Source organism: Homo sapiens, chromosome 10 (assembly GCF_000001405.40).
Source record: "Homo sapiens chromosome 10, GRCh38.p14 Primary Assembly".
Taxonomy (NCBI): Eukaryota; Metazoa; Chordata; class Mammalia; order Primates; family Hominidae; genus Homo; species Homo sapiens.
Genome location: NC_000010.11, coordinates 32,233,789 through 32,254,442, shown reverse-complemented (window position 1 = coordinate 32,254,442; position 20,654 = coordinate 32,233,789). Strand labels below are relative to the sequence as shown.

Below are 20,654 nucleotides of genomic sequence, written 5' to 3'. Positions count from 1 at the left end.
CAAAAATTATCCAGGCGTGGTGGCACACACCTGTAATCTCAGCTACCCAGAAGGCTGAGGTTGGAGGATCACCTGAGCCCGGGAATTTGAGGCTGTAGTGAGCCATGATTCTACCACTGCACTCCAAGCCTGGGTGAAGGGAGTGAGACCCTGTCTCAAAAATAGAATCATCACCTGAGCAAATAAGTGGCCCAGATTTGAACCCATGTCTAGCTGACACTAAAGCCCATTCTTTTAATAAGCTGCCTGCCATCTGGTGCAGATATAAAATTTATTATCACATGCAAGCCTGGGACTCAGTTCCTCCAAACCCTGTTTTCTGGTTTCGTGCCTGAAGGCAGAGAGATGCATTGGAGAGAGCCCTGCACTGCCCTCCAGAGCCACAGTCTGGTCCCACATCATGCCACACTGCAGTCCTGGAGGTTGCCAAGGCCTTGCAGGAACTCAGCCTCCTCCTCTGCAGGGTAAAGGGGCAGGACAGACACTGGTTCACACTGTCTTCCACAGCTCTGGCAGTTAGCTTCTGGTTACCTTTATCCAGGCCCTACGGGTCACTGGGGCAGTGGGGTAGGGAGGATAGCCCCCCATATGTGCTTTCATCTCAGCTGGCCAGTGGAGGTCTTCAGACCCCAAGAAGTGGGTGACACCTCTCATTGGTGTCCTTTCCCCCTCCTGTGCCCCAAATACTGCACGCTTCTCTTTTCCCAGACCCCTGGCCTTTACCTCCTGCCAATAAGATTATCCTCTCAACTAGATGCCTGGGGCAGAAAGACCTAAATCAACAAATGCTCTTTGCAGTGTTTGCTGGAACAGCTTGCAGATCACAGACTGGTGCTCCCAGCCTTGGAGAAGCGGAGCTCAGGTGGTGAAATCTCAGACATGACTGTGAGCTGGGGAGGAACCTTCCCAGGCCCCTGGGTCTCACCACACACAGGTCTGGTTTTTCAAAGGTAAGCCTATGAGGGAGAAGCTGCCAGGTCATTAACACTACCGCCTGGGAGGAGGAAAGTGGTTTCAGCCACACCCAGTCCTGATGACACATCTGGAGGCTACTCCAGGGTAAGCCCAGTGAGAAGTCTGAGCTTTGCATCCTTTTAGAGTGTATCCTTCAGAAAATTTCGCGCAAAGGTTGTCTTTCCCTGGCTTCCTTTCTTGTCTCAACCCCATTGTATTGGCATGTGGTGGGATGGGGAGAAATGGAGATTGAGAGAATGAAATTAGAATGATAGAAACGTCCTGAAAATCCATTCAAACTGTCAGAGGTATTTGAACCAGAGCAACTCCATCTGGAGTAGGGGCTGGATAAAATGAGGCTGAGACCTACTGGGCTGCATTCCCAGGTGGTTAAGGCATTCTAAGTCACAGGATGAGATAGGAGGTCGGCAAAAGATACAGGTCATAAAGACTTTGCTGATAAAACAGTTTACACTAAAGAAGCCGGCCAAAACCCACCAAAGCGAAGATAGCGATGAGAGTGACCTCTGGTCAACCTCACTGCTATACTCCCACCAGCGCCATGACAGTTTATAGATGCCATGGCAACATCAGGAAGTTACACTATATGGTCTAAAAAGAGGAGGCATGAATAATCCACCCCTTGTTTAGCATATCATCAAGAAATAACCATAAAAATGGTCAACCAGCTGCCCTCGGGGCTGCTCTGTCTATGGAGTAGCCATTCTTTTATTCCTTTACTTTCTTAATAAATTTGCTTTCACTTTACGGACTCACCCTGAATTCTTTATTGCACGAGATCCAAGAATCCTCTCTTGAGGTCTGGATCAGGACCCCTTTCCTGTAACAAAACCAGGAGTGGAGAGAAAAGGGCCCTTCAAATTCCAGTAGCACAAAGGGTCTTTCTTTTCTTTCCTTCCTTCCTTCCTTCCTTCCTTCCTTCCTTCCTTCCTTCCTTCCTTCCTTCCTTCCTCCTTTCTTTTTTTATTTTTCTGGAGTCTTGCTCTGTCACCCAGACTGGAGTGCAGTGGCACAATCATGGCGCAATCTAGGCTCACTGCAGCCTTCATCTCCCACATTCAAGCGATCCTCCTGCTTCAGCCTCCCGAGTAGCTAGGACTACAGGCATGCACCACCATACATAGCTAATTTTTAAAATTTTATTAATTTTTTTTTATTTTTAGTAGAGACAGGGTTTGGCCATGTTGGCCAGGCTGGTCTCAAACTCCTGACCTTGGGTGATCTGCCCGCCTTGGCCTCCCAAAGTGCTGGGATTACAGGTGTAAGCCACTGTGTCCGGCCTTTTTTTTTTTTTTTTTTTTGAGACCGGGTACTGCTTTGTCACCCAGGCTGGAGTGCAGTGGCTCAATCATATAGCTCATTGCAGTCTCGAACTCCCAGGCATAAGCAATTCTCCCTAATAACTAGGACTACAGACATGTGCCACTATGCCCAGCTAATTTTTTAATATATATCTAGACATGGTGGTCTCGCTACATTACCCAGGCAAGTCTTGGTCTCTCCTCTTGGCCTCCCAAAGTACTGGGGTTACAGGCATGAGCCACTGCACCCCACCAGAGTAGCTTTCCTTCCTAAGAGACACCTACTGCGATAGTTCTGAAACTTGTTTGTCTAAGAATCATAATGGGGTAATTTTCACAGGTGTTGGGCAGGACCCAGGAATATGCATTTTTAATCAGTGTTCAGGCAATTCCACTGAGGAAGTTCTGAAGGTCACTCTCAGAGCTTCTCAAACTTGAGTGAGTATTCCCGGAGATTTTGTGAAAATGCAGGTTTTGATTCAGTGGGTCTGGGGTGCAGCTGAAGGTTCCGCATTTCTAGCAAACTCTGAGAGTCTACTAACACTGCTGGCCCAAGAGCCCCTGCCCGGAGTCGCAGGGCTCTGTCGTCTCAAGCCCCTTCTGGTTGTCTATCTTGATTCCAGTGCTTTCTAACAACATGTGCTTTGCTGTCATAAGCTTCCGGATTTATCAAAACTACAAGTTGATCTAGGAAAGCTACGACAGTAATTTTGTATACCCATTTCCCTGCTAAAAAAATAAATAAAATGTTGTGTGATTGCTAGAGCTTAGATAAAATTGTGGAAGACAACCAAACATAACTAAATCTTGCCAGTCAGCTAAGAAGTGGGCTATTTTTGAAAGCCATATAAAATTCAATAGAAAGTCTGCTGGGAACAGGTGTTTTCCGGTCTTGGGAGACAAAACTGCTCATTCAGGCTCCAGCTGCATGCATTTTTCCTTCTTGAATTTGTTTTACTCTTGGGAAAAAAGACTTTTAAATTCAGTGACAGCAGAGCTCTAGAGCTCATTTAGACAGAACTTAAAATGTTCTCCTGTGCCTTATCTGCTGAACTGTGTGTATCCCAAAGCCACTAGCAGAACATCTTCAGTGTGTCTGTGAGGAGATGACAGGAAAGGTGGAAGCTTGACCGAGGCTGGCCATACAGAACCAGGGTTCCAGAGAGGCCATAAAATGTCCTTTAGACTCTTTTTTTTTTTTTGAGCTTTTTACAAGCTTTTTTCCTTTTTTTTAATTTTTAAAATTGTGGTAAGATATAGATAACATAAAATGTACCATTTTAATCATCTTTCAATGTACAGTTCAATGGCATTCAATACATTCATATTGCTATGTAACCATCACCACTATCCACCTTCAGAATTTTTTGTCATCTTAAACGGAAACTGTAAGTAAACAGTAACTTCCCAGTCCCCTCTCCCCCTAGCCCCTGGTAACCACTGTTCTACTTTCTGTCTCTGTGAATTTGACTACTCTAGGTCCCTTGCATGCCTTAGTCAGCTTGAGCTGCCACAGCAAAATATCATAAACTGGGTAACTTAACAGACAGGCTGAAGTTCTGGAGGCCAAAAGCCTGAGATCAAAGTGCCAGCATAGTCGGTTTTGGTGAGGGCTCTCTTTCTAGCTGTAGGCTGTGGCCTTCTCACTATGTTCTTAGGTGGCAGGGAGAAACAGACGTCTCTGTGTCTTTTTTTTTTTTTTTGGAAATGAAAGTGTGTTTTCTTTTCTTTTTTTTTTTCTTTTTTTGAAGATGGAGTCTCACTCTGTTGCCCAGGCTAGAGTGCAGTGGTGCAATCTCTGCTCACTGCAACCTCCGCCTCTCAGGTTCAAGAGATTCTTCTGCCTCAGCTTCTCGAGTAGCTGTGATTACAGGCACCCACCACTATGTCCAGCTAATTTTTCTATTTTTAGTAGAGGCGGGGTTTCACCATGTTGGCCAGACTGGTCTCGAACTCATGACCTCAAGCAATCTGCCTGACTCAGCCTCCCAAAGTGTTGGGATTACAGGCGTGAGCCACCATGCCCAGCCTCTGTGTCTCTTCTTATAAGGACATGAAGAATAACACACCAAAAAATCAAATACTGTATGATTCCTCTTACATGATGCTGTTGAATGAATTGAGTCTACTCAGAATTCATATGTTAAAGCCCCAACCCCCAGTGTGACTGTATTTGGAGAAAGGGCCTTTATGGAGATAATGAAGTTTGAACCAGCCACCACACCCAGTTAATGTTTTGTATTTTTAGTAGAGACTGGGTTACTCCATGTTGGGCAGGCTGGTCTCAAACTCCTGACCTCAGGCTTCCTGAGGTGATCCACCTGAAGGTCATCAGGGTGTGGCTCTGATCCAACTGTTTGTTACTTTGTATTGTTATTTGTTGTGGCTTATTTCACTTAGTATAATGTCTTCAGGGTTCATCTGTGTTACAGCATGTGTCAGAATTTTATCACTTTTTAAGGCTACCATTCCATCATATGTATATACCACATTTTGTTTATCTACTCATTTGTTGATGAATATTTGTGTTGCTTTCACGTTTTGACTACTCTGAAGAATGCTGCTGTGAATATTGGTGTACAAATGACTGTTCAGGACCAGGCATGGTGGCTCACACCTATAATCCCAGCACTTTGGGAGGCCAAGGCGGACAGATAGTGAGGTCAGGAGTTCGAGACCAACCTGACCAATATGGCGAAACCTGGTCTCTACTAAAAATACAAAAATTAGCCACGTGTGGTGGCACATGCCCGTAATCCCAGCTGCTTGGGAGGCTGAGGCAGGAGAATTGCTTGAACCCAGCAGGCGGAGGTTGCAGTGAGCCGAGATCTTGCCATTGCAATCCAGCCTGGGCAACAGAGAAAGACTCTGTTTCAAAAAAACAAAAGGAAAAACAAAAACAAATGACTGTTCAGGTCCTTGCTTTTAAATTCTTGCACGTATATACCCAGAAGAGGAATTGCTGGACCAAATGGTAATTCAATGTTTAATCTTTGGGGAACCACCCCATGTCCCTTAGAATCCGGAGCCAGAGGCACATGTTGACATGTGTTTCCAAGGCCCCATTAGACCACCTCAACTCAGGGCTGACCTGGCAGAATCAGCGGGAGGATTTTATCTCTGGAACATGTTCAGCATGTCTAGTCCTTCCACCATGTTGCCCATCGGGAGACCTTTCAGCCCCTAGATGTGTCCATGATGGACTTGAGGCCTTTGCCTTCCCAGGGATGCTGAGCAGACTCAATACATAATAATCAAACTCCTAGAGGCCAAGGCCTCATGAGGAGCCCTGGAGCAGGTGTGAGACCTCAAAGATCCCTGAGGACAGTTAACTAATCCTGCTGCACACCACTCCTCCTCCTGCGTGTTTGTGTGTGGACCTGGCTCTGTAGCATTTTGAAGTGGAGGTCTGGAATCTGACCTCTGGGCTCTGACCTTCCTTTAAGGCTGTCAAAGAGACAGCTAGTTACCTGGTATTGTTATTGTTAGGGCTGGGTGCTGTGGCTTATGCCTGTAATCACAGTACTTCGGGAGGCTGAGGTGGGTGGATTAACTTTCAGGAGTTTGAGACCAGCCTAGCCATCATGGCGAAACCCTGTCTCTACTTAAAAAATACAAAAATTAGCCAAGCATGGTGGCACGTGCCTGTAGTCCCAGCCACTGAGGAGGCTGAAGCGGGAGATCGCATCACTGCCATCCAGCCTGGGTGACAGAGTGAGACTCCGTCTTAAAAAAAAATTACAAAATAGAAATAAATAAATAAAGTGGAGGTCTGGAATCTGACTTTTGGGCTCTGACCTTCCTTCAAGACCTTCAAAGAGACAGCTAGTTACTTGCTATTGTTATTGTTAAAATATGAACATGCAGTTCCTATTCATTTTTTGTTTTTGAGACGGAGTTTCGGTCTTTTACCCAGACTGCAGTGCAGTGATGCTATCTCAGCTCACTGCAACCTCTGCCCTCCAGGTTCAAGCGATTCTCCTGCCTCAGCCTCCTGAGTAGCTGGGATTACAGGCATGAGCCACCAGGCCCAGTTAATGTTTTGTATTTTTAGTAGAAACGGGGTTTCTCCATGTTGGTCAGGCTGGTCTCAAACTCCTGACCTCAGGTGACCCACCTGCCTTGGCTTCCTGAAGTACTTGGATTACAGGCATGAGCCACTGTGCCCGTTCTCCTATTTGGAATATGATGTGACACTGTCTCTCGAAACTGGAAATTCACAAGGAGTGAGTATTAATGTGTTCTCATGCTGCTGGTAAAGACATACCCGAGACTGGGCAATTTACAAAAGAAAGAGGTTTAATCAGACTTACAGTTCCATGTGGCTGGGGAAGCCTCACAATCATGGTGGAAGGCAAGGAGGAGCAAATCTCCTTTTAGATGGATGGCAGCAGGCAAAGAGAGAGAGCTTGTGCAGGGGAACTCCTTGTTTTAAAACCATCAGATCTCATGAGACCTATTCACTATCACGATAACAGCGTGGGAAAGACTTGTCCCCATGATTCAATTACCTCCCACTGGATTCCTCCCATAACACGTGGGAATTCAAGATGAGATTTGGGTGGGGACACAGCCAAACCATATCAGAGTGTGACCCAGCAGTCCCACCTCTTGCGCTTGTAAACAAGGATGTTGTGCAGGGTTGCTCATTGCCTCATCAGTCAGCCTTTCCTTTATGACTTCGGGGGTCTTTTTAAAGAACGGCTTTCCATCCCTAGGATTATAAACCTTTTCCCAATATTTTTTCTAATATTTAATACTTTTGTACTTGTTTTCCCAGCTCTTATAGCCAGTTTGAAATTTGTTTAGTTTAACTGAGTATTGTTTGTGTTTAAATTGATAGCCAAATATCCCAAATAGTGTGTTGAATGAACCATATTTTCCTCACTGATGTGAAGTACTATCTTTATCACAAACTAAATTTCTTTATGTATGTGGATATAAAATGGTGAACAGTGGCCAGGCATGGTGGCTCATACCTGTAATCCCAGCACTTTGGGAGGCTGAGGCAGGCAGATCACTTGGCTCCAGGAGTTTGAGACCAGCCTGGCCAACATGGTGAAACTCCATCTCTACAAAAAATACCAAAAATTAGCCAGGCATGGTGGCACACATCTGTAGTCCCAGCTACTTGGGAGGCTGAGGTGAGAGGTCACTTGAGCTTGGGAGGTCAAGGTTGCAGTGAGCTGTGATTGTGCCACTGCACTCCAGCCTGGGTGACAGAGTGAGATCGTGTCTGGGGGAGTGGGGCGGAAAGGTGGGAGTAGGGAGAAAGTGAAGAAGAATCCTATGTGTCAGCTTTAAATTGGAGATATCAGTATAAATTCATGATTGTGCGTGTGTGTGTGTGTGTGTGGGTGTGTGTGTATTTTCTAGCTCCACACACAGGAAAAGTCTAAAAACAACACTCCAGAAACCTTAATATATCTGATGCACAGTTCTTGGTTTCTAAAATCCATTGTCCATTTAAAAGAATTAAGGATCCTTAGAGAAATTAGAAATCCTTTGGCTGATCCCAGAGCCCAAGGCATAGAAAGTCCAAGTTAAACATGAAATATCAACATCTTATTCCAAAAAGAAGGAAGAGCTCAAAGGCTAATGAGCTCATGTCAAAAGGACATAGAATTCAGTCTGAAGGAGATCTCACTAGCAAAATTTGAGATAATTTGGGTAACAGCTACAAAAGGGAAAAATAAAAGAAAGTTTATCAATTATAACCCACTGAACTTTAAAAATCCCTGAGTACATAGTGATAATCACAAAGAGAGATGTAGAAAAGAGAGGAAAAGAAATAATTTTTCTTTCTTTTTTTTCTTTTTTTTGAGACTGAGTTTCGCTCTTTGTTGCCCAGGCTGGAGTGCAGTGGTGTGATCTCCGCTCACTGCAACCTCCACTTCCCAGGTTCAAGCAATTCTCCTGCCTCAGCCTCCTGAGTAGCTGGAATTACAGGCACATGCCGCCATGCCCAGCTAATTTTTTTTATATTTTTAGTAGAGACAGGGTTTCATCATGTTGGCCAGGTGAAGAATTTTTCTTTACTGATTTCCAACTAATAAATGTAGAAGAAATAAAATACAAAGTCACCACTTTGTAACTCCCAATGTGATAGTATAGTCACGGATTTTTTTTTTTTTTTTTTTTTGAGACACAGTTTCACTTTGTCACCGGGGCTGGAGTGCAGTGGCACGGTCCCAGCTCACTGTAACCTCTGCCTCTTGGGTCAAATGTTTCTCATGCCTCGCCTCCCGAGTAGCTGGGATTACAGGTGCACGCAACCACGCCCAGCTAATTTTTGTATTTTTAGTGGAGATGAGGTTTTGCTGTGTTGGACAGGCTGGTCTCGAATTCCTGACCCCAAGTAATCCACCTGCCTTGGCCTCCCAAAATGCTGGGATTATAGGTGTGAGCCATTGTGCCTGGCCAGTCAAGGATTATTAATGGATGCTAAAATCATTGGATAAAAAGTTGAGAAACAGGCCAGGCACAGTGGCTCAAGCCTGTAATCTCAGCACTTTGGGAGGCTGAGGTGGGCAGATCACGAGGTCAGGAGTTCAAGACCAACCTGACCAACATCGCAAAACCTCATCTCTAATAAAAATACAAAAATTAGCCGGAAGTGGTGGCGCATGCCTGTAATCCCAGCTACTCAGGAGACTGAGGCAGGAGAATCGCTTGAACCCAGGAGGCGGAGGTTGCAATGAGCTGAGATCGAGCCACTGCACTTCAGCGTGGGCAACAGTAAGACTCTGTCTCAAAAAAAAAAAAAAAAAGAAAAAAGTTGAGAAACAGGATAGTCACATGATTTCAAAGGATTACCCTACAGATTATGTATCAATACAAAGCAAATAATGTGTTTTATGGTAGATTATTTAGACATAGCCACTATAATTTCCCTCCCTGTATTCACTTCTTTGGGCTACATGACTTCCCTTGGCTAATGGGACAATAATAGCACATGTGATGGAAACAAAGATGTGAAAGTTTGTGCATTGAGAATTACTTTCGTGTTGCTGGTAATGCTTCCACTACCATAGCAATAAGCTTAGGCTAGCCTGCTGAAAGATGAGGAATGATGTTAACCAGGGCTCCAGATATCCCAGATAGCCAAGCCATCTCAGGCATCACAGCTAAGACCCAGATATGAGTAAGCCCAAGTAAGAACAGCCGAGCTTTGCCCAGACCAAAGAGACCACTCAGCTAAAATTGCTGATCTTCACTTCATCCCGGGAGGTGGAGGTTGCAGTAAGCCAAGACCACACCACTGCTCTTCAGCCTGGGTGACAGAGCAAGACTCTACCTAAAAAAAAAAAAAAAAAGAAAAAAAGAAAAAAAAAAAAGAAAGAAAATAGCTGATCTACAGAATTGTATGCTAAATAAAATAGTTGTTGGTGGAGGCCACAGTAGTTTGGGGTGTTTGTTAAGGAGCAATGAATGGCTGATACATAAGTTGGTACCAGAAGTGTTATGCTGTCATAATGAAAACCCAAAATATGTGGCATTGGCTTTGAGACTGTGGGCAAAGGCTGGAAATGTCATAAAGAAACTGCTAGTCAAGCTGGAAGAAATGACAAGCAAATGATCAATGGAAACTATGAAGCAATGAGAAAAGTGCTAGACAGAAACAGGAAAAATGCTGACCTGTGTTAGGCAGCAGCTCAGCAATTGGCAATAGTATCCCCTGCACTAACATGAAAGATGGAAAAAGCACCTAAAAAATTTCAGATATGGTGAAGGGGGTTTCATTCAAGGCAGAATGGTGAAAACATCAATTATCGAGTTGTGCATAACAAGGTACAGAAAACAAGGCATTAGCTAAATTGTGCTAAAAAGCACAATTTAGAGGAAACATAGAGGAGCCAGGACTGGAGAGTGAAAATAGCCCTTCATCTTGCAAAAGGTTTTCAGGAAAGAAATAATGCCCTGAGGGTAAAGATAAAATCAAAGTGCGGCTTTAACAACCTTTGTTAAGATTTCAGGAAGATTGTACTGACATCAGCAAGATGGTAGCATAGGAGATCCCAGCCTTTGTCCCCTTATATAAAACAATAATTAGACAGATATCTATGAAAAAAAATGCTCTGGGAGAGCTCAGGAGTCCAGTTAAGAAGTTGCAGCAGGCCGGGTGCGGTGGCTCAAGCCTGTAATCCCAGCACTTTGGGAGTCTGAGGCAGGTGGATCACAAGGTCAGGAGATCAAGGCCAGCCTGGCCAACATGGTGAAACCCTGTCTCTACAGAAAAAAAAAAAATAGAAAAATTAGCCGGGCCTGGTGGCAGGCACCTGTAATCCCAGTTACTCAGGAGGCTGAAGTGGAAGAATCACTTGAACCCGGGAGGCAGAGGTTGCAGTGATCCTGCCATTGCACTCCAGCCTGGGGGACAGAGCGATACTCCATCTCAAAAAAAAAAATAAGAGAGAGATAATCAAGAAGTTGCAGCAATGCAGTGAAGAAAAACAAAAAGAACAGAAAATAAATTGTACAGAAAGGGTAGGAAGAACAGTTTCATGTTGTCTTCATTATTCCATCCCCTAGGCTGGCATAGCTCAGTGCTGAAAGAGAAACCACCAGTCCATGAGTCCCCTCATAGGGAAAAAGAGAGCAGAGTAAGCAATCAGCTTCCTGAAACTCCAGGGGCACTGCCTGAAGAATCTGCTTTATCTTTACCACACCCAGATCACTGGGGAGATTGGCATAGCTGAGACATCTGGAGATGGCTAGGAAAACAGAAGGGCAGGCCAGGTGCAGTGGTTCACGCTTGTAATTCCAGCACTTTGGGAGGCCGAAGAGGGCAGATCATGAGGTCAGGAGTTAGAGACCAGCCTGACCAACACAGTGAAACCCCATCTCTACTAAAAATACAAAAATTAGCTGGGCACGGCGGCGGGTGCCTATAATCCCAGCTACTGGGAGGCTGAGGCAGGAGAATCGCTTGAACCCAGGAGGCGGAGGTTGCAGTGAGCCGAGATCGCGCCACTGCACTCCAGCCTGGGCAACAGAGCTAGACTCCATCTCAAAAAAAAAAAAAAGAAAAGAATATGGAAGGGCAGGCCTGTCAGTATCAACTACATGGAAGGTGCCACAGCAGTCTCCGGTGGCCTGCTCTTCAGAGGATCCCAACAACCTTTGACACTGAAGACCTCAACAGCCATTGCAGCTATCATGGATTCTGCAGAAAAAGAGATGTGCCTCCCTACAGAAGGAGCCACCACTGGGCTCCTTGAGCTGGAGCTTTCACCTTCCTTCCTCCTGCCTGCAACCACATGTATGCCTGGACTCCAGAGCTATGGCTGCTCCACACACACCTGTGCTTCAGACCCCAGCCCACAGCCACTCACGAGCATCCATGCTGCAGAAACAGACACTGCTGCCTCAGTGGGCATGCCTGAACCTCAAACATTGAAGCTACCACCACAGCAGGCACACCTGCGCCTTGGGCCCTGGAGCCATAATTGCTCCTCATTGGAGAAAAAGAGAACAGGAGGACCTCAGTAACTTTCACCTCTGAGGACCCTAAGAACTCTCGGCACTTTCTCAGATACCCACAGTTTTGGTCACTAAGAACCCCCACAATCTGCCAAAACCGGCCTCAGCTGAGGGAGCTACATGGAAACTATACCATTGCACACTTCCTTGAGATGAAATCACTGCACCAACCCAGCTGGCACCCTCACATACACCTGTAGGTAAAGCTCTTTTCCCACCAAAACTAGTTTATAAAGTCTGGAAGAGGTGACTGCTTCCTCAAATATGTAGACATCAATACAAGGCTATAAGAAATTCAATAAATCAAGGAAATATGACACCACTAAAGGAACACAATAATTTTGTAGTATCTGAACCCAGTGAAATGGAGTTCTATGAATTGTCTGATGATTAATTAAAAATAATAATCTTAAAGAAGCCCAGTCACAAAACAAGCCTTAACAAATTTAAGAAAACAGAAATCATTCCAAGTGTCTTTTCAGACCACAGTGGAATAAACTAGAAATGAATAACAGCCAAAAAGCTGGAAAATTCACAAATATGTGGGAATGAAACAACACACTCTTGAGCAACCATTGGGTCAAAGAAGAAATCAAAAGGGAATTTAAAAAGTATCTTGAGACAAATGAGAATGAAAATACAATGTACCAAAACCTATGGGACACAGCAAAGGCAGTAAGTACTGAGGGGGAAGTTTATAGTGATAAATACCCACATTAAAAAAAGAATACCAATGTCAAACACACAACCTAACTTTTCAACTCAAAGAACTAGAAAAAGAACAATAAGCTAAGGCCAAAGTTTTAAGAAGGATGAAAATAAGAAAGATTAGAGAATAAATAAATCACAGAGAATAAAAAAATTAGAAACAATTAAACAGAGTGGGTTGTTTGAAAAGATAAACAAAATGGACAACATTTAGCTAGATTAACTAAGAGAAACAATGAGAAGATTCAAATAAATAAAATCAAAAATGAAAAAAGGACACATTGCCAGTCACGGTGGCTCAAGCCTGTAATCCCAACATTTTGGGAGGCCAAGGAGGGCGGATCACCTGAAGTTGGGAGTTCGAGACCACCCTGAACAACATGGAGAACCCCATCTTTACTAAAAATACAAAATTAGCCATGTGTGGTGGCACATGCCTGTAATCCCAGCTACTTGGGAGGCTGAGGCAGGAGAATGGCTTGAACCCGGGAGGCAGAGGTTGCAGTGAACCATAGATCGCACGGTTGCACTCCAGCCTGGGCAACAAGAGTGAAACTATGTCTCAAAAAAAAGAAAGAAAAGAAAAGAAAAAAGAAAACAATTCAGGCCTGGCATGGTGGCTCACACCTATAATCCTAACACTTTGGGAGGCCAAGGTGGGAAGATTGCTTGAGCCCAGGAGTTCAAGACCAGCCTGGGAAACATGGTAAAACCTTGTCTCTATCAAAAATACAAATATTAGCTGGGCATGGTGGCATGCACCTGTAGTCCCAGCTACTCAGGAGGATGAGGTGGGAGGATGGCTTGAGCCCAGGAGGTGGAGGTTGTAGTGAGCTGAGATCATGTTACTGCACTCCAACCTGGGTGACAGAATCAGACCCCTTTGCAAAAAAAAAAAAAAAAGAGAGAGAGAGAAAGAGAGGAAGAAAGAAAGAGAGGAAGGAAGGAAGGGAGGAAGGAAGGAAGGAAGGAAGGAAGGAAGGAAAGAAGGATTCAATTCAAAATAATAACAGAAACAATAAAATGCTGAGAAATAAACTTAAACAAAAAGGTAAAAGAGTTGTAAAATGAAAATTATGAAACATTGGTGACACAGATAAATGGAAAAACATTCTGTGTTCATAGATTAGAGAAATTAATACTGTTAAAATGTTCACACTATCCAAAGTGATCTACAGATTTAATGCAATCCCTGGGAAAATACCAATGACATTTTTTACATAAGTAGAAAAAAATTATACAATTCATATGGAACCACGAAGCACCCTGAATAGCCAACACAATCTTGAGAAAGAAGAACAATGCTGGAGGCACCACACCCCCTGATTTCAAAATATATTACAAAGCACAATAATCACAACAGTATGGTACTGGAATATAAATAGACATATAGACCAATGGAACAGAATAGACAGACCAGAAATGAATCCATGCATCTATGGTCAATTGATCTTTGATGAGGTGTGAAGAATACACAATGAGGAAAGAACAGTCTCTCAAGAAGTGGCTTTGGGAAAACTGGATGTCCACATGCAGAAGAGTGAAATTGGACCCTTATTTCACACCATATACAAAAACCAAGTCAACATTTTGAATGTAAGACCTCAAACCATAAAACTACTAGAAGAAAACATAGGGGAAAAGCTTCCTGGCATTGGACTGGGAAATGATTTTTTGGATATGACACCAAAAGCAGATAACAAAAATAGAAATAGACAAATGAGATTGCATACAACCAAAAAGCTTCTGCATAGCAAACAAAACAACCAACAGAATGAAAAGGCAACCAATGGAATGGGATAAAATATCTGCAAGCCAAATGTCCAATAAGTAATTAATATCCAAAATATATAAGGAATTTATGCAACTCAATAGAAAAAAAAAACCCAAAACCAAACAAACAAAAAACCCTGATTTTGAAATGGGCAAAGGACCTGCAAAGACAAAAAAAATACAAATGTCCAAAGGGTATATGAAATAGTTGCTCAACTTCATTAATCATCAGGGAAATGCAAGCCAAAACCACAATGAGCTATCATCTAATACTTGTTAGAATGGATCAGAAAGATGAAAGATAGCAAGTGTTTGCAAGAATGTGAAATAAAGGGAACCCTTATACACTGTTAGTGGGAATATAAGTTGGTACAGCCATTATGAAAAAACAATATGGGGAGTCCTTAAATAATTAAAAATAGAACTACCTTATAACCCAGCAATCCTACTTCTGGGTATATATAGTCAAAGAAAATGAAATCAATATCTCAAAGAGATAGTTGCAGTCCCATGTTCATTTCAGCATTATTCACAATATCATAATAACCAAGATATAGAAACAACCCAAATGCCCATCAAGGGATGAATGAATAAAGAAGGTGTATAAATGGATAAAGCGTATGTGTGTGTGTGTTACATACATACACACAAATATATATATAATGGAATATTATTCAGCCTTAACAAAGAAGGAAATCCTACTGTTTGTGGCAACATGGATGAAACTAATGGACATTGTGCTAAGTGAAATAAGTGAGAAGCAAAAAGAAAAATACTGTATGATTTTACTTAAATGTGGAACCTATGCAGTGAGCCGAGATCGTGCCACTGCACTCCAGCCTGGGTGACAGACTGAGACTCTGTCTCAAAAAAAAAAAAAAAAAAATGTGGAACCTAAAAATGTAAAACTCATAGAAACAGTAGGGGCCAGGAGCGGTGGCTCATGCATGTAATCCCAGCACTTTGGGAGGCTGAGGCAGACGGATCACCTGAGGTCAGGAGTTCGAGACCAGCCTGGCCAACATGGCAAAAACTCATCTTTATTAAAAATACAAAAATTAGACAGGTGTGGTGACAGACACCTGTAATCCCAGATACTCATGGGGCTGAGGCAGGAGAATCACTTGAACCTGGGAGGCGGAGGTTGCAGTGAGCTGAGATTGCATCACTGCACTCCAGCCTGGGCAACAGAGCGAGACTCCATCTCAAAAAAAAAAAAAAAAAGAAAAAGAAAAAGGAAAGAAACAGAGTAGAATGGTGGTTATCAGGGGTTGTGGGGAGGGAAAGATGGGGAGATGTTGGCCAAGGGGTACAAGGTTTCAGCATGCAAGATAAGTAAGTTCTACAGATCTAATGTACAACAATGTGACTAGAGTTAACAATATTGTATTGTATACTTGAAATTTGCTTACAGTGTGCTTACCACAAAAGGGAAAAAAGCTAATAACATACAACATACCTCATATAATTATATGAGGTAAGGGTATGTTATTAGCTTGCTTGTGGTGAATATTTTGAAGTGTATACATATATCAAATCATCAAGTGGTTTACCTCAAATACATAAAATTTTTAATTATCAACTATAATTCAATAAATTTGGGGAAAAAGACCTCAGGAAGATTTAAGATGGTGCCTAGTAAATTATCTCATCTGGACAAAAGGGATCCTCAGACTTTTTATGAATATAAAGTTTGTCTCATTGTGGCCTTAATCTTGTCTTAATCTTTTGTGAACATAAAGTTGCATCTCATCTGTGGCCTTAATCTATATGGCCTGATTGAACATATTTCCATATGTGTACTGGCCATTAATTTCTTTTCTGCGAAATGCCTTCGTTTCTTATCATTTTAGAGAAGGGAATGTTCTTCCAGGGAACATAATGAGCTGGTAAGTTTCTGGGTTCTACATGATGAATTCATTCTAGCATGACCAGTTTTCTAAACCATCTGAACTCTTTCTATTATTCTGTCAGGGCGGTATTGGCAACTTTACCTCATTTAATTTGGGCCATCGTTAGCTCCAAGTTTTAAGGCTCCAATGCAGAAGAATGTTAGGATGGGCCACAAGCATCCTTGCCAGGATGTTAAATCATGAGTCATGGAAGACTCACACTGATGTGAATCCCCATATCAATAAACTCTCCCCCATCCAGATTTGTACTCCATTCCCCTGTCCATGCAAACAATACCTTCAATATACACTTCCATACTTGCTCTCCTGGCTCCTACTAGTACATATTACCCGAGTACTGCAGGTTTTGTGGGGAGGAGGATAATACATTTTCTCTTATTATAGAGATAGTACTTCTGGGCCTAGACCTTCCTGAGACCAAACCTAGTTATTTGTCTAGATGCAGTAAGAATAAACAAAGGCAGATTTTGAGAAGAACAAGTATCATCTTGCAATCTGTCTGCCTTAGGTGAGACCTTTGCATGGTTTCCAGGCAGTGGAATTCTGCTCTCTCCTAACAAGAGGGATGGGCTGCTTCTGTTGGCTGAAGTGTTGAGGAGACTAGTGTTTCAGTGTTTTCAAGTGTATCTACCTAAATAGAGGTGATGCTCATATTGCCTGGAAGAACATCCCCTTCTCTAAAATGATAAGAAATGAAGGCATTTCACAGAAAAGAAATTAATGGCCAGTACACATATGGAAATACGTTCAATCAGGCCATACAGATTAAGGCCACAGATGAGACACAAATTTATATTCATAAAAGATTAAGATAAGATTAAAGCCACAAGGAGACAAAATTTTATATTCATAAAAAGTCTGAGGATCTCTTTTGTCCAGATGAGATAATCTACTAGGCACCACCTTAAATCTTCTTTTTCCCCAACTTTGCTGAGTTATAGTTGACAACTAAACATTTTATGTATTTAAGGTAAGTCAAGACATCTCAGGGTCTTGACTTTAGCAAAGTAGACTTTCTGGTGCAGTGAATTCTGTTTTGTATGTAACTCTACCACCCTTGCAAATTTTAGGCCTAATTTTTCATATTAACTTTAGGCTCCAGAGGGGGGAAAACTTTCACGGTGCGTGAAGAACAAAAATAAGAATGACAGCAGCAGAATTCTCATTAAAAACAATACAAGGGCCGGGCACGGTGGCTCACGCCTGTAATCCTAGCACTTTGGGAGGCCGAGGCATGCAGATCACGAGGTCAGGAGTTCAAGACCAGCCTGGCCAACATGGTGAAAGCCCGTCTCTACTAAAAACACAAAAAATTAGCTGGATGTGGTGGCAGGTGCCTGTAATCCCAGCTACTTGGGAGGCTGCGGCAGGAGAATCGCTGGAACCCAGAAAGTGGAGGTTGCAGTGAGTGGAGATTGTACCACTGCACTCCAGCCTGGGTGACAGTATGAGACTCCAACTCAAAAAACAAACAAACAAACAAACAAACAAACAAAAAGACAAGTCTGGGCGCAGTGGCTCACACCTGTAATCCCAGCACTTTGGTTGGGAGGCCGAGGGGGTGGATCAGCTGAAGTCGGGAGTTCAAGACCAGCCTGACCAACATGGAGAAACCCTATCTCTACTAAAAATGCAAAAATTAGCCAGGTATGGTGGTGCATGCCTGAAATCCCAGCTACTCGGGAGGCTGAGGCAGGAGAATCGCTTGAACCCAGAAACGGAGGTTGCGGTGAGCCAAGATTATGCCATTACACTCCAGTCTGGGCAACAAGAGTGAAATTCTGTCTCAAAAAAAAAAAAAAAAAAAAAATTAAAGGAAAGAAAATACAAGCCAGAAAATAATGGAGAGCATTATAAGAACTGCCTTTCAAAACTGAAGGTCAAATAAGGAATTTTCAGGTAAGCAAAAGCTGCAGTAATTAACCACCAGCATATCTTCACTACAAACAATGTTTAAAACAATTCTTTGGGCCAGGCGCGGTGGCTTATGCCTGTAATCTCAGAACTTTGGGAGGCCGAGGTGGGCAGATCACGAGGTCAGGAGATCGAGACCATCCTTGCTAATACAGTGAAACCCCGCCTCTACTGAAAATACAAAAAAATTAGCTGAGCGTGGTGGCGGGCACCTGTAGTCCCAGCTACTCAGGAGGCTGAGGCAGGATAATGGCGTGAACCTGGGAGGCGCAGCTTGCAGTGAGCCGAGATCACACCACTGCACTCCAGCCTGGGTGACAAAGTGAGATTCTGTCTCAAAAAAACAAAAAAAACAGTTCTTTGGATAAAAGCAACATGATTCTACATAGAAACTTGGATATAAACGAAGGAATAAGTAGCATGAGATATGGCAAATATCTGAATACATATCAGGCTTTATTTTTATTTTTGATGTCTTTCAAAACCAATATATTTGAGGGTTATGATATATGCAGAAGTGAAATACATGATAACAATTATACAGGAGACAGAGAAGAAATGGCAATATGCTGTTGAAAGATTATTTCAGTATATGTGAAGTAATATAATGTTAGCTAAAGGCTGACTGTGGTAAGTTAAAAATGTATATCGTAGGCCAGGCACGGTGGCTCACGCCTGTGATCCCAGCACTTTGGGAAGCTGAGGTGGGTGGATCACCTGAATTCAGAAGTTCAAGACCAGCCTGGCCAACATGCTGAAACCCCATCTCTACCAAAAATACAAAAATTAGCTGGGCGTGGTGGCACACATCTGTAATCACAGCTACTCGGGAGGCTGAGGCAGGAGAATCTCTTTAACCCGGAAGGCAGAGGTTGCAGTGAGCTGAGATCATGCCACTGTACTCCAGCCTGGGCAACAGGGCAAGACCCTCTCTCAAAAAAAATAAATAAATAAAGATATATATTGTAAACCCTAGAGCAACCACTTAAAAAAATAAAGAGGGATATAACTAATAAACTAATAAAATAATATTGACATATATGTTGCAAATAAAACTCAAAACTCAATAAAACAAAGCAAAAAACAAAAAAAGGAGAAAAGAACAGATGAGATATTTAGAAACAAAATGATGATAGATTTAAACTCAACCATATCAATAATTATATTAAATATAAATTATCAAAACACTCAAAAGATAGAGATTCACCAAATTGGATTAAAAAATCAAGATCCAAAAGTATACTGACTACAAGAAACTGACATTAACTACAAAAACAAAGAGGTTAACCCTGAATGGATGAATAAAGACATAGGAAAAACGAATGGAAAGATAACTGAAGTGGCTAGATTAGTATCACACAAAGTAAGAGAGAACTATGAATATTACCATGAATCAAGTGGCACATTTTATAAAGACTTAATTTATCAAGAAAATACAACAATTTTAAATTTGTATACTCCTAACGAAAGGTTTCAAAAGATAGGCGTACCTCATTTTATTGTGTTTTACTTAATTGCACTTCACAGATTTTGTATTTTTTACAAATTGAAGGTTTGTGGCAACCGTGTGTTGAGTAAGTATATCAGCACCATTTTTCCAACAGCTTGTACTCACTTTGTGCCTCTGTGTCAAATTTTTTGGCAGTAAAGTATTTTGAACATATGTACATAGTTTTTAAAGACATAATACTATTGCACATACTAGACTACAGTATAGTGTAAACATAACTTTGTATGCACTGGGGAACCAAAAATTTTTTGTGATTTGCTTTATTACAGTGTCTGGAACCAAACCCACAGTATTTCTGAGGAATATCTCTACATGAAGCAAACACTGATAGAACTGAAAGGATAAGTGAGTCAATTCTCCATCACAGTTGCAGATTTCAGCACTCCAATCTAAGCAATTATAAAACAAATACATAAAAAAATCAATAAGTGAAGCAGCTCCATTGTCTGGGGTAAACACCCGGGGTTTGATATCTCGCACCAAGAAGATTAAAGACACAGACACACATAAGGAGTTTAGGAGCGGAGAGTTTAATAGACAAAAAAGAAGAGACCTCCCCCTCCCCTTCCCCCTCCCCCTCTCCCTCTCCCTCTCCCCGGTCTCCCTCTGATGCCACCAAAGTTGTGAAAGCGGAGGCTCGACTGTACTGCCGCCATCTCGGCTCACTGCAACCTCCCTGATTCTCCTGCCTCAGCCTGCCGAGTGCCTGGGATTGCAGGCGCGCGCCGCCACGCCTGACTGGTTTTTGCATTTTTTGGTGGAGACGGGGTTTCGCCGTGTTGGCCCGGCTGGTCTCCAGCTCCTGAACGCGAGTGATCTGCCCGCCTCGGCCTCCCGAGGTGCCAGGATTGCAGACGGAGTCTCGCTCACTCAGTGCTCAATCTTGCCCAGGCTGGAGTGCAGTGGCGTGATCTCGGCTCGCTACAACCTCCACCTCCCAGCCACCCGCCTTGGCCTCCTGAAGTGCCGAGATTGCAGCCTCTGCCCGGCCGCCACCGCGTCTGGGAAGTGAGGAGCATCTCTGCCTGGCTGCCCATCGTCTGAGATGTGAGGAGCCCCTCTGCCCGGCCGCCCAGT

At 43.0% G+C, this 20,654-nt stretch overlaps 2 annotated features.

Annotated features, from left to right (window-relative positions):
* Window positions 435-935: an enhancer, noted in NCBI's record as "H3K27ac hESC enhancer chr10:32542436-32542936 (GRCh37/hg19 assembly coordinates)". NCBI's record gives its function as "activates a minimal SCP1, AML or CMV promoter by ChIP-STARR-seq in naive H9 embryonic stem cells {active_cell/tissue: H9 hESC(naive)}" and the evidence as "EXISTENCE:reporter gene assay evidence [ECO:0000049][PMID:30033119]".
* Window positions 6,813-7,030: a silencer, noted in NCBI's record as "fragment chr10:32536341-32536558 (GRCh37/hg19 assembly coordinates)". NCBI's record gives its function as "represses an EF-1alpha promoter that drives an FKBP-Casp9 reporter gene in an ReSE screen in K562 erythroleukemia cells {active_cell/tissue: K562}" and the evidence as "EXISTENCE:reporter gene assay evidence [ECO:0000049][PMID:32094911]".